General features: G+C 43.0%; 1 protein-coding gene across 10 annotated transcripts in view, besides 1 other annotated feature; it reads left to right on the top strand.

The window, feature by feature from the left end:
• The window catches only part of CHD7 (chromodomain helicase DNA binding protein 7), a 189,289-nt gene extending 185,496 nt beyond the window's left edge, over positions 1 to 3,793 (top strand). For all 10 annotated transcript variants that reach the window (XM_011517553.3, XM_047421945.1, XM_011517555.3 and 7 more), the window contains one exon: positions 781 to 3,793. In XM_011517553.3, coding sequence (XP_011515855.1) covers positions 781 to 1,698 — 918 coding nt within the window. In that variant the 3' untranslated portion in view covers positions 1,699 to 3,793. The remainder of the gene's footprint in view (positions 1 to 780) is intronic.
• Positions 9,490 to 10,012: an enhancer, noted in NCBI's record as "NANOG hESC enhancer chr8:61786284-61786806 (GRCh37/hg19 assembly coordinates)". NCBI's record gives its function as "activates a minimal SCP1, AML or CMV promoter by ChIP-STARR-seq in naive H9 embryonic stem cells {active_cell/tissue: H9 hESC(naive)}" and the evidence as "EXISTENCE:reporter gene assay evidence [ECO:0000049][PMID:30033119]".

Consider the following 14,739-nt stretch of genomic DNA (forward strand, 5'->3'; position numbering starts at 1 on the left):
TGATTAGCCAAGTAGCTGGGATGACAAGCATATGCCACCACACCTGGATATTTTTTTTTTATTTTGTAGAGATAGGGTCTTGCTATGTGCCCCAGGCTGGTCTCAGACTCCTGGGCTCAAGAAATCCTCTAGTCTTGGCCTCCCAAAGTGTTGGGATTACAAGCATGAACCACGGCACCTGGCTTCAAAGTGATGATTTGATATAATTATACATTATGTACTTTCCTTTTTAAAAATTTGTTATGGGTACATAGTAGGTGTATATATAGGGTACATGAGATATTTTGTACAAGCACACAGTGCATAATGATCATGTTGGGTAGATGAGGTATGCATCACCTCAAGCATTTACCCTTTGTATTACAAACAATGTGATTATACTCTTTTAGTTATTTTAAAATATACAGTAAATTATTGTTGACTGTGTAGTCACCCTGTTGTGTTATCAAAAACTAGATCTTACTCATCCTGTCTAACTCTATTTTTGTACCCCATAATGTACTTTCTGATGTATGATTTCTTGAGTTAGTTATGGATGCAGCTAACTTGACATTTACCTCACTGATGAGTAGCCTTGAGCAATTTTTCTGCAGTTCAGCAAGCTAACATAATAATAAAAACAAGTTTTGCTGTCATTAAGTTTTATCATTGAGCTGTTAGGAGGGAAGAACTACTTAGGTATTTCCATTTGGAATGGCAGGTTCACCACAGAGGCTCACATTGAGATCAAGTTGTCTTCGACAGCCTTTATAGCCACTGTTTGCCTCCCCTGTACTCCAGGGTTTTGTTCCTGAGTCGATGTTTGACCGCCTTCTCACTGGGCCTGTAGTGCGGGGAGAGGGAGCGAGCAGAAGAGGAAGAAGGCCCAAAAGTGAGATCGCCAGAGCAGCCGCGGCCGCCGCTGCTGTGGCCTCCACGTCAGGGATCAACCCTTTGCTGGTGAACAGCCTGTTTGCTGGAATGGACCTGACGAGCCTTCAGAATCTCCAGAATCTCCAGTCGCTCCAGCTGGCAGGCCTCATGGGCTTCCCTCCAGGACTGGCAACAGCTGCCACCGCCGGAGGCGATGCGAAGAACCCTGCTGCTGTGCTGCCCCTGATGCTGCCAGGAATGGCGGGCCTGCCCAACGTGTTTGGCTTGGGCGGGCTGTTGAATAACCCTCTGTCAGCTGCTACTGGAAACACCACTACTGCTTCTAGTCAAGGAGAACCGGAAGACAGCACTTCAAAAGGAGAGGAGAAAGGAAATGAGAATGAAGACGAGAACAAAGACTCTGAGAAAAGCACAGATGCTGTTTCGGCTGCTGACTCTGCGAATGGATCTGTTGGTGCTGCTACTGCCCCGGCTGGATTGCCCTCAAACCCGCTAGCCTTCAACCCTTTCCTCCTGTCCACAATGGCCCCGGGCCTCTTCTACCCATCCATGTTTCTACCTCCAGGACTGGGGGGATTGACGCTGCCTGGGTTCCCAGCATTGGCAGGACTTCAGAATGCCGTGGGCTCCAGCGAAGAAAAGGCTGCTGACAAGGCTGAGGGAGGACCCTTTAAAGATGGAGAGACCCTTGAAGGCAGCGATGCCGAGGAGAGCCTGGATAAGACTGCAGAGTCCTCCCTCTTAGAAGACGAAATAGCACAGGGTGAAGAGCTAGACTCACTTGATGGGGGGGATGAAATAGAAAACAATGAAAATGATGAATAACCAGTACCAGTTCCAGTTCAAGTGTTTAAAACTTTTGACAAGTGGTAGTCCTACTGTTTACACTCACAGTTAATGTTCATACCTAGTTTTATAAGCTGTTCTGTAACATAGTGTAGCAAAAAAAAAAGTTCAAGTCATGTTATACAGGTGTGTCAAAAGGTATCTTGGTCATTAAGTATTGTGCAGTGCATTATTTATTATCCCTAGGAGAGATGAAATTTGAGAGGTGATCATGTCTTTTTAAGGAAACTTACATAATGCTCTGCTTTTTTTTTTTCTCTTGGTACCATTGGTATTATAATAAAGAGCAATTTGTAACTGAGTGGCACTAATGGAAGAAAGTGCTGCTCAAAGGAAGTATGAAGTTATATATTTAATTTTTTAATTTTAATTTTTAATTTTTTTGCTGTGAAGGTCAAGCTGAAATTTACCATACATATCATACTTGCTCATTTGTTTCCCTTTTTGACTGTATGGGGGTTCCCACACTCGTGCATACACACACATCCATACACTCTGACAATCTCCACGCTAGTGTGAACGCCTCTGTCCCGAGGCGCAGCAATAATAAGGCAGCTGTTGAATGTGAAGGGTCCCTTTGGAAAATTAACCTACTGGGAGGGTTCTTGCCAGACAGAACTACAGTTCCATTGTCTCGTGGTCTTGTAATGCACTGGTAAAAACAAAATAAATAGATGAATAAATAAAGAGTGAGAGAAGAGAGAATCAGGTACCTTTTTTAAATTAAAGGACTTTGTTACTTTAGCCACAAAGCTAAAACAGCATTACCTCAGCTCTAAACTAGCCTTGAAGTTTACAGACATGACTTTGTAAATGTATTGTTTTTCTTTGTTGTGATGTCCTTTTATTTTTTTCTTTGAAAACTGCTATCATGTAAGATAAAATGTAAATTGCTGCCAACTGTAGTAATGATGCTTTTAATAAAAGTGACCCATGATATGCAGAGATGTAATTATAGAATGTAGTATATAGGGAAACTGGTGTTCACTCTATTTTTTTTGTATTCGCAATAGATGCAAATACAGCATTCTGGCTTTTGTACAGTTTCTTGATATATCCTCTTATACTAGATTAGCTTTTGGTAAGACACTAAACTGTCTCGAAGACTAGACAGGAAGGAAAACCTTGAATTACTCTCACATAATTCCACTCCAGATATCTCAACAGAAATGCATACAAAAAGCTCCTATTACTCCCTCAAAAGGGCATCTGAGACCGAGAATACTTAGAAATGTGTGCAGCGTGTGATAATGTGGTACACTGAAGAACAAAAGGGCAAAAGAAAAATGAGGCTTTAACAGGCACAATATCTAGGTCATTTATCCTTGGTTAATGGGTAGAAAAACACAATGCGGTAGTGTCAGCAAGGGACACAAAGGCACTCTGGTGTCCTGCAGACCAGCGCTCGATGCCAGAAACCAGTGTGTGGAAAAACCCATGTGGAATTGAAACAGACCCACTTAAGCACGCACGCGCGCACGCACGGTCTCAGGAGCTACTGATTTGTGGACCCCTTTTTGACCTTTGGTATTTAAAGTAAAATATAATTTGAGATCTACTGTTTTCACCTTTTTATGTCACCTGAACCAACACAAAGCCATATTTCCATCCAGTTAAAAAGCAGGGGAAGGGATGTGGACGAGAGTGTTTCGTGTGTGTTGCCTTCCTCCACACCCTTCCCCCAGGACGTCCGCACACAGTCCACCTCCAGCCAGTGTGCTGCCAGACAGGTGGTCTAAATTCCTCCCAGACTGTGAGATTCAGTTCGTTTATGCCCCAAGATGAAAATATGCCCCTTAATGATTCTGGGAAAGAAACAACCTGAACCCTCCACCTTACAGATCCTGTGATTGCTTTTATTTATCATCGTCGTTGTCTGCTGAAAGTGAATGGGCCGTGCACACTGGAGGAAAGTGCCTTGAAGAGAATATTTTTTGAAAGGGAATTATTTGAACACGGGAAAGTGAAACTAGGTCTGCATGAAGTATAGGAAATTTAAGTATTTAAGTAACAAAGATGTTAGCAGGGAGAATTTGCTTAATAAAATGAGTCATTAAAGGGTGTTTTTTTTAAAGTTCTTTGTAGTATTGGAAATTTTCCTATGAGCCTCTGTAAATAGAGAATATAATGTGACACTGTTAGGATAAAATTCTAAGAGCAATGATGATCTTCAAAGCAAAGCCATCAGTTGCTCGTGGCCAGAGGACCCCTGAGTTGTTGGGGCTCACTGGCTTGTTATGTGCATCATCCGGTACTCATCTGTTGACGTGGCTTTAATGTCATTCACATTTTCATATTGAAAAATGCATTTTTTTTCTTCCAGTGAAATTCATTCTTGGTAGTAGATCTTGAATCTACCTAAGTATTTTATTTTCTTTCTTTCTTTCTTTCTTTTTTTTTTTGTTGTTGTTGTTGAGACGGAGTCTCGCTGTCTCCCAGGCTGGAGTGTAGTGGCACAATCTCAGCTCACTGCAAGCCCCGCCTCCCACTTTCACGCCATTCTCCTGCCTCAGCTTCCTTAGTAGCTGGGACTACAGGCGCCTGCCACCACGCCCAGCTAATTTTTTTTGTATTTTTAGTAGAGACGGGGTTTCATCGTGTTAGCCAGGATGGTCTTGATCTCCTGATGCTTGTGATCCACCTGCCTCTGCCTCTGCCTCCCAAAATGCTGGGATTACAGGCGTGAGTAAAGTATTTTCAATTCAGTCAGATACTAATGGGTATGATCGTGTGCCTAGCATGGAGGAAGCACTGAGGTGCCAAGGGTTCTCCTGGCATTGCTCCCTGATGGAAGTTCTGTTCTTCCCTGAGGAGGCTGAGGCCCGGGAGTTGGCATCATCCCCAGCAGTAAGTGCAGGAACAGGACTTGAACTCAGGTGGTCTGACTGCAGAAGTCTGTGTATGTGCTCCTAAAATACTGTGCTTTTAGGTCTCTGAAAGAAAATTATGACATAAGGATAACTGAAAGTTCGCTGTTTATTCCCCTTCATAACATCTTAAGTTTGAGGTTGGGAATTAAGAGAAAGTCTTGAATTAGAGACTTAGCTCTGGCTAAGGAAATGAATCCCACCTACCTCATTTAAATTTGGATTTATTTTGCCCCACAAGTATTTCTATTTTATAAAGAAATCAAGTCTTTAAAAAGAATTTGTCCAAATAAGTTACAGAGAGAGTAAATTGCCAGCCTGGTATTTGAACCCCAATTGATGTAACTCCAAAGCCCAGGCTCCTAACCACTATGCTAGTGTAATTAACATTCATCAGCAACATTGGGTGCTGTGTGCTAGAGGCTGTGCTGGGAATATAGAAATGAAAGCAAACAGACTAGTCCCCTGCTGTCATGCAGCTTACATCCTAGTACGAAGAGATGCATAATAGAATACAAATAAAATGTTTGCAGGGCAAGGAAGACTCTTAAATAAGGTGATAGGATGGCCAGGAAAAAGCTCTCTATGGAGGAGACAGCTCACACCTGAGTGATGAGAAGCAGTAGGCAGACTATATTCTAGTTGGAGAATTGTCCAGACAAAAGGAATGACAAACGCAAAGACCTTGAGCTGGTAATGAGCTTGGAATAAGGAGTGGAGAGGCCATCTGCCTTGAAAAGTTGGGAGGCATGGTCAGATTACATAGGGCCTGGATGGCTCTGGTGGAGGATTTGGGTTTCATGCTGAGTGCTGTAGAAAGTCTTCTGAAGGTTTTATGCAGAAAAATGGTCATTTTCATGTTTTTAAAGGATCATTATGTCTGCAGTTCAAAAAACTCCCTTGTAAAGGGGAGTCAGCAATTCTAGCTGGGAGATGGCTGTAGCAACCTTGGGTCAAGTTTAGTGGGCAGTAATGGAGAAGGAAAGCCATGGATGGACTTGGGATATGTTTTGAAGAGGTAGACCCTCCAATTTAAATGAACTTTTCAGTGAATAATTTGTATTAATTCTTCAGGACTACTACTAAAAACTAACAGATAAAGAATGTTCACCATGCTAATTTTTTTAAATAAGAATGTTGTGATTAGTGTTAGAAGAAGATACTGGGAAAATAAATTTTTCCATCATGTACATTATAAAATTTTCTTTTTAGTTCAATGAAAATTGTTAATTGTCTGTGGGAAGAGTTTTAGACATTAATCCTGACCGGTAGAGGAGGTGAGAGTGAGCATTGTTGAAGCAATGTGTGTTACAGCAAACATCTCTGTGTCTCTAGGGCCATCAATAAATTTAAATTAGGAAGCAAAACAATGTAAATGACTTCTACTAACAAGCACTTAAAAGAATACATCTTATTCATTCAACTTGGCTCTCTAATGAGCAATTTTATATTTTCTTAAGCACAGGTAAGATTTACCACAGTTTTACAGACATAGTAAAATAAGCTATATTTGGCAAAATAGATGAATAAATTACCTTCGGGAATACTTTACCTAATGTAAGACTCTTAAGCATTTCATTATTGAGATTTTTGGTAGGGGAGTCACTTAATTTGAAGATTTTCTGGTAAGGGTTAGGATGATCGTTTTCTAAGTATTCTGGACTATTTAAGTTATTTTATGCAGTGCAACATAGCGCCACCCTCCCAATAGGTCTATTTGTTTATAAACCTTGTTTTGGATCTACAGATGTAGATTTGAATTTTAATTTGGATCTCCTTAATCAAATGTGTACTATGTAATTTAAATGAAATTAAATAATAAGCTAGTGACAAAATTTGAAATATTTTGACATCTAATATCTTTACCTTCCGAACGATTTACTCTTTTTTTTTGAGATGGAGTCTCACTTTGTCACCCAGGCTGGAGTGCAGTGGCACAACCTCGGCTCACTGCAACCTTTGCCTTCCAGGTTCAAGATTCTCCTGCTTCAGCTTCCTGAGTAGCTGGGCCCATAGACATCTGCCACCATGCCCGGCTAATTTTTGTATGTTTAGTAGAGATGGGATTTCACCATGTTGGCCAGACTGGTCTCGAACTCCTGACCTCAAGTGATCTGCCTGCCTCGGCCTCCCAAAGTGCTGGGATTACAGGCATGAGCCACCGTGCCTGGCAGAATGATTTACTCTTAAAATTTGTTTAGCTCCTAAGCAGGTTGACATTTTCTTCACTTGAACAAAGATGGCAGAATCCCATTTCACATGTTGGCAGGCATGCTATTTAAGTGTGCTGGTGCCTCTCCACAGTAGGATCCTGCTGTGAGCCTTCCCTTCTCATGAGGTCCTTCCTGGGCTCCCAGATAAATGTCATGATAAATTTGGAGTTGTAGCTAAAGGGCAGCCTAATAGATTTCTAATATATAATAAATAGTAGCACTAGGTCAAAATACTGCTTAGGAATCACTTTATACTCCAGGTGGCTTCCTCCATTGTCCCCTCGCCGCCTCTGCATTTTGATCTGAAAGCTCGATTTCAAGATTACAAATGAGAGAAACCTGATTCTCTTCTGTGACAGGAGCCAGGTACTGCAATGGTTTGCAATCCAAAACCTCATAATTGTCAGCCTCAGTTCAAGAGACTTCAACTGGGATATAGGCTGGATGACTGAAACCTAAGCAGGCTGTAAAGTTAATAGTTTTGGGGAGTGCGCATGACAGTTTGGAAAACTCATCCTGTTTAACATGTTTCACCATGTTTCCCTAGGAGTCGGGAAGCTCAACATTTCAGAATTCAGCATTTGTGTTTGTTAATAGGCACTGGTGAGTTAATCCACACCACACCCTGGTAAGTTAGGCCAGTCTTGTTGCCACCAGCCCTTTACCAGGTGAGGCAGGGTCATTTGCCCAAGGCCAAGTAGTACACAAGTGTGGTGGCCAGAACTAGAATTTGGACTTTTCCAGCGGACGTGATAGCTAGCTGTGGGCCATCTGTCTTAGGATAAACCCACCATCAATGTTAATTCAGGTCTAGGATCTTAAACAAAAACCTAAAATAGATCAAGCTACAAGATATTTTAATAACCGATGGTGTGATCTGAAGAGCAAATCAGAAAGTTCCAGAATCTCATGCTGCATTACAGAAGTGATTATTGAAGAATGGCTGAAAGATGTTCAAGTAAAAAAAAAAAAAGCAATTAACAAGTAGGCTTTATATCCATGCTGAGTTAATGATATGATCTATGCAACTGACAGTCTAAATATTTCTGCATGTTACTGAGGATATTCACTAGGATTTCTGGATAGTGAATATTGCCCTTTCTTCTACCTTGTATCTGAATGGCCCTAAAAGCCAGCCCCAGCTTGTAGAAATCGAGATGACAAAGTCTGGAACCTATGGCTCCTACAAGGATGGAAAATAGCCCCAGCAGAACAGTGTTGCTTCATCTGTCCCCACCCACAGGGCTTTCCTAGGCTATTGTAGCTCTCATAGCGGATTTGCATATCTGTAGCTGCAGAGCTAATGTTCTCTCTCTAGGCTCAGGGGGCCCTGCAAGGCAGCTCCATGGTCCTTTCCATTTTATTGTAAGAGTTGGTGGAAAATGAGAGGCGGCCATTGTGTCTGACTGCGGAGGCATTGTTCTTCCCCAGACGAGGCTGGCCTCTTTCTCAGCTCCCGGTTTCTGCTCCTCCAGCCATGGCTAGCTTCTGAGGAGCAGCTGGACTAACTCAGAATTGCCCCAAGGGTTACTTAAAACCATGAAAAGAAATTTTACTCTCCAAAATGTAAAGTTACAAACTGCCCCCCAAACACCTTTTCTTGGCAGTCCCAGTTTGTACAGAACCTGTGTGTTCTGATAGTAACGCAGCCGTGGCAACTCAACGACAAAGTGCTGGCTCGAACCTCAGCCCCCAGCCCCTAGCCCACTTTGTGAAAAGAATTTCATTGACCATCAGAATATGTGGTGGTGGCAGTGGGGGATAAAATTGAAGCAGAAAATGTCCCTTTACATTTCAACCATAAAACCATCTGTTGCTGAGGACTGTGCAGGTATCAATTGTTTATGATCATTAAAATCTTGCTGTTGAGGATAGTTACTACAAAAACCTGAATATTGTTTATGATGTCGATGTCGGGGAAACCAAAGCTTTTTGTATTTATGTTGCTTTCTTATGTGGTTTGGGGGTAGGCCAAATGAGCAAAACAACAGTGGCCTTCCAAGGTGCATAGGCCTAGGAGAACATGCTGTAAAATATATGCAAGAAGAAAAGCAACTTTGAGAATCACTTGGTGTTTCTTGTATTTGGAGCTCAAATGACTAAATGGCCAAAATGTCATCTCCAGCTGACATGCTTCCAGCATGTCTGTTCTGGTCAGAAAGCTTACCCAAAATAGTTTACAATTTTATTTTGTACTACGATATACCTGCTACTGGACACGCATCTGCAGATTTTAGGTGCATGCTGATCTGGCACATTTATTCTCATGGATTGTATGTATGGGGCATTACGTGCTCCCTGCCTTCAAGGAGATGCTGAAATCCACAACAACTTGAAGGGTTAGACAAACTTACTGTTTTAATAGCTGTTATAGGTACAAATTATCCTAGCCACTTGATTGTCAGTTGTGGCTAAATATGTTGAATAAGGAGGAAGCTACTGAGCCCAGAGACCCTGGGAGAGGACATGTGGATTTGATCGGTTGTCCTTGCTCCTTGTAATTTTAGCTTCCTGCACCTGATCACTTTATCCAGAGCAGGAACAGCTTTAAACTAATCTTGTTTTGCTTTAAATGTAAACCATCTAGGCTTCTGAATTAGTGCAAAAAAGAAAAAAGTTTAGTAACTTCAGTTAAATCTCTAAGACTCACATCTCTCCTGCATCAGCATGATCATGATATTCCCCTTCTCTTAGAGGTGCCACCAACGGTGACCTAAAAACGGAGGCAGCAATGCCCTGAGGATGGCATCCTGTTGCTGGTGTCCACAAGGTGATTTCCTTCTGGATCTGGACATTCTTGCTTGATGGACTAAATGCAGCCATGTTTTGCTTTCGGCCTTTCCACATTAAGTCTCTGCTCTCTTAGGGACAAATGTTATGGAGTCTTTTTGTGTATTAAGGACACTTTCTTTTGAAAGCCATGCCAGGGGTTATGCTAAACAAAGGGCATAATAGGCATCATTCTTGTCCTTAAGTAGCAACCAATTGGGAAGTATTTAATGGGCAATTGGAGGGTGTGTTGGAGGGTAGGGGTGAGAGAAAAAGCATATAGTCAGGGTTCTTCCAGTGCCTAAGAGTGTTGCTGAGGTAGGTAATATAAACAACAGATCTGCCCGTGCTTTGCAGATTTCAGGGCATTTATCCATGCATTGTCTCAATGGATACAACTTAGAAATAGGCCAGTTGTGACTTTAGAGATTAAAGAAATTAAGGTTCTGTGAGGCAAGGTTAGCAAGTGGTTTCGTTGAATCTTGCAGGCAGGTCTTTGGACTCCAAATCACATAGTGTGGTTTCTCTACCACATAATGACAGCAACCAGGTAACTCCTGCCACACACACACAGTGGCAGCCCTGTAGAGCAAGTTCATCTCTGAGCCTCACCTTCCTCATTTGTAAATTTGGAAGCATAATAATGATAATGCCTTCCTTCTAGTGTTGTGTGAGGATTCGAAATCCTGAATATGGCCGGGCACAGTGGTTCACACCTGTAATCCTAACACTTTGGGAGGCTGAGCCAGATGGATCACCTGAGGCCAGGAGTTCGAGACCAGCTTAGCCAACATGGCGAAACCCCGTCTCTACTAAAAATACAAAAAATTAGCCAGGCATGGTGGCGGGCACTTGTAATCCTAACTACTTGGGAGGCTAAGGTGGAAGAATTGCTTGAACCCGGGCGGTGGAGGTTGCAGTGAGCTGAGATTGTGCCACTGCGCTCCAGCCTGAGCAATAGAGCAAGACTGTCTTGAAAAAGTGAAAAAAGAAAAGAAATCCTGAATATGCAAAGTTCTTAGCGTCTGGCACTGAACTGGCACTCAACAAATGATCATTTAAAAACTTCACATCGTTTGACAAATTCTAAAGAAGTGGTACAGGAGAATGAAGCCTAAAAACACTGAGCAAATGGCCAGGGTGGTTTTGGCCTATAAGGAGTGTTCTATAGAAATGAGGCTTCTGCCTGTCCTGAAACACAGGCAGTTCTTGGCTGAAGACAGCAGTGCAGACTTGAGCTTGGAGTAGGTGGGAGGAGGTAAGGCTTCTAGAAAGTCGGTTCTCAAACACCAGTGAGCAATACAAGTAGCCCTGGGGCCTTGTACACTTCCAGATTTGGATGAAAATTGTTTTTAAAGCTTCACAATACTCTTATTCCAATACATTCTAATATTTTCTGTTGTATTCTATTTCATTAGAATAAATAAATAAGAGATCATTCCCCTCTAAACTGACTTAGTGATGCAGTAGTGGTTGGTGGCCTGCACTTTGAAAAATCCTGCTGTACAACAAGGGTTCTTAACCTGGGGCCATGGATGGGCTTTGTGGGAGGGGATGTGGGTGGCCCTAAGTCCCTTGAATTTGGATGCATAGTTATGTGTGCATGTATTTTTCTAGAGAGAGGATCCCTAAATTTCGTTTGGACCTCAAAGCACCTGTGACTTCCTCTCTGAGAGGGTAATAAGAGAGCCAGAAAAGCAGCTTTGAGTGATTGGGGATTACTTTTAATGCCACTTCAGAAATGGAAAACTGATGAAAAACCAGTCCCTGAAGAGGAAAAATCACAGCAAGTGGAACATTCCCCCCAAAATGCCTCCTGCCCAGGGTACTCTCCTCCCGCTTGTGTGACAGCCAGCAGTTGGGACAGCCTCCTTTTTCTCCTGCACCAAGTGGGGACGGTAATACCACCTTCCATGCAGGCCAGTTTTGAAGACTGAATGAGATAATGCCTGTAGAACTACTTAGACTGGTACAAAATAAACACATTCACAATGTCAACTATTGTGCGTGCTGTCCCTGCGTGGTGACAGTACCACAGAGAGTGTTGTCCCCATTGTATCTGTCCAGTGCTTTGTGAGTGTGTGTTTGTTTTTAGTGGAATGAATTCTTTTCCTCATTCATGAGCATAGAGGCTGATAGAAATTCCAGGCAATCTGATCTACCTCGAGGTCCCTCCCCTGGGCCCTCACACAAAGCCAGAAAACATAAATGAGTCCTTTCTCCCTGTCTGGCTTCTGGAGGCTGGCCATAGGGCCTGAACGGCATCCCTGCCAAGCTAACACAGGTTCCTGGGTGCCCAAAGTGTGCCCGCCCCTGCCAGATGGCAGACAGTGCCCATAGCTGCCACACCCTCCACCCCAGCACACTCAGGACCATGCTCTTGTTGCTACTCACCCTTCAGTCAAAAAATCAAACAAAACACAACGGGCCCTGGAGAGCTGTCCTCAGGTTTCCTCCTTCCCAGGAGGAAGCAAAGGTGAAAGGAAAAAGGGTTTCTGCATAAGGTGCCCACCTTTGGGGAGTCTGAATTTCTGCCCTCTTATTTTATTAATATTATTTGCTGCTATGCTGTTCAGTCGTGAAGCCCAGGGCCCCACACAGAGTGACGCCTCTGGGTCCCGCGGTGGATGGAAAGGGCGGACTGCGGCCGCGCTGGGCACAGGTGGGAGATGGATGGGGCTGCACGGTGGGCACGGAGCGCCTCTGCCGGAAACCGCCTCTTCCTTCCCAAACTCAGTTTTAAAGGGCACAGCAAGTAAGGTGCTGCTGGTTTTAACAGCTCCCATCAGGTAAAGAATGAACGTACACGTACAGCGACTGAGCCTGTTTGTTTCTAATTGGTGTTTTTATAAGTAGGGTTCCCAACAGAAGAAGGCACATGTGTGACCAGCAGGACTGTGTCCTCCCCAGATGAACGTGCTAGAACCAGAGCCCCCAGCGCCTCAGGATGGGACTGCATTTAGAGACAGAGCCTTTAAGAGGGGATTAAGGGAAAATGAGTTCGTACGGGTGGGTCCTGCTCCAACCTGACTGGTGTCTATAGGAAGAGAAGATAAGGACACAGGCAGAGACGGAGGGAAGACTTCCTGAGGGCAGGGGAAGAAGGCAACCATCTACAAGCCCAGGAGAGAGGCCCCCAAGAAGCCAACCCTGCTGACCCCTTGATCTTGGATTTCCAGCCTCCAGAACGGTGAGAAAAGAGATGTCCGTTGTTTCAGCCACGCAGTCTGTGGTACCTGGTTATGGCAGCCCCAGCAAACTAATAAACTGTGTCTTTCATGAATTCATACAGCAACAGTTTACAAGCCTGGCCAACCCCATCAGAAAATGAAAAAGAAACCACCAGGCGAAGTGAAAGCAGTTCCGTGTGATGCGGCCGCTCACTCAGAGCTATGCTGTGATCCACCAGATGGGCTCGCGCTGATGGGAGTCCGGTTGAGTCCTGCTCAGCCAATGGCAGGTTGTGTGCCACGGGCGAGCTACTTCATTTCTCTGGACCTGTTTCCCCAGATGGCTGGTCGCAATAATGACGACGAGGCGGATGGCGGCGGGGAGGCTAGAGCCCATTTCAGAAGCCTGCAGTGAGGATTCCACCAGTTCACATGCATCGGGCACTGAGCCCTGAACCGCACCTAATAAACACTCTCCCAGCTATTAGTATTACAAACCTGAGAACGGGGGCCATATCTGGGTCCTCCTCCTTTCCAGATGTGCGACCTTGATTGAAAGTCACCAGTTCCCTGGGGTTGCTCCATTTGCATAGTGAGGGTCTCAGTGACACTTGGGGGCCCTTTTGGCTCTAACATTTTATCATTCTAATAAGTGTTGATATGAAGAGCCATTCTTTGCAAGGAGTAGGGCCACATTTCGGTGAGTTGTGAGAAGCATAACATTTTGGGTTTTTTTTCTACCCTATGTGTTCATGGTTGACAAACCCAGTAAATAGGGATGACTTTAGGGAATGTCTTTCCAGATAATTCCCCCTTAAAAAAAAATCTGTACCCTTGGATTCTGTAAGTATTAACAAAAAAGGGAAAAAAAGGCAAACTTCTACTTTTAAGCAGTGCAAAGTGACTGCAGTAAATCTATTTAGGTATCATCATGTTTGACTTTAAGAAAATGGCTGAGCTATGGGCAAGGTAATTCAAGAAGATATAAATGGCTGCATTATAATAAGCAGACACCTATTTTAAGCATGATCTATGTTTTTGAGAAAATTCATTACAATAAGTCTTACAATACCAACCTCTTCAATGAATTTTTCATGTCTGCATACCAAGATATATATAAAACGATCGTAATCATGTACCTTTGGGGCAATGCTGAGCGCCAGCTGTTTCAGGCATGATTTATAGGTTGCCATGCTCAAGGTTAATGATCAGGAGAAACAGGTTACAGTATGCAATGTATTTATGTCAGGTTAGAAGTTCAGTTAGTAGAGATAGCATGTTATAAGGAAGCACACACTTTTAATTATTTTCTAACTGCCCCCACCTACATTTTCCTGCAATAAACTAAAAGTAAATTATGTTTTGCATAGGGAAACCTCTGGTAAGCGCATCTTCTGGTTACTGTTGGCTTTATTTAAAGGGAAACCACAGCTAGGAATTATTAGCTGTACATATGAAAACACAGCTTGACAGTACTTAAACATCTGTGCAATGGGCCTACGTAGAAGGTATGATGGAGCTTTATAAACATCGAGCTAATTATGCCCTTACTGAATTGCAGCATTTTGCCACTAGCAGAATTTCTAACAGGATTTTCAGAGATGTGGTACATACAAGCCACAAGCTTATCTCCAAAAGCACTAAAATGGAAGCTGCCTTTCTTTGGAGACAAAATTATTGCATCAGTTTCATTAAAATCTCAGAAATGTTCCCTTTTAAAGTTGAGACAAAAATGCGTCTCTGTTGACCTAGGAAACTTATTTTTGTAATAAAGAGAAAACTTTTTTTTTCATACAGAGTTAGTTCATTGTGCTCCTCACTCATCATTGGTCTACATGCATGACATCTCTCTCCTGTTTCCTTTCTTTCTTCTTTTTTACCCCAGATGTAGTTCCTCAGCACCCACCCACCCAGCCACCCAGAAGCCAGATTTCTAGTGTGTTTATTACATATGTATGCATGTATTTTTCCTAGTACTTTTTCAAATGTGTAGTGTTTGTA

The sequence above is a fragment of the Homo sapiens genome, chromosome 8 (assembly GCF_000001405.40).
Source record: "Homo sapiens chromosome 8, GRCh38.p14 Primary Assembly".
In the NCBI taxonomy this organism is placed as follows: domain Eukaryota; kingdom Metazoa; phylum Chordata; class Mammalia; order Primates; family Hominidae; genus Homo; species Homo sapiens.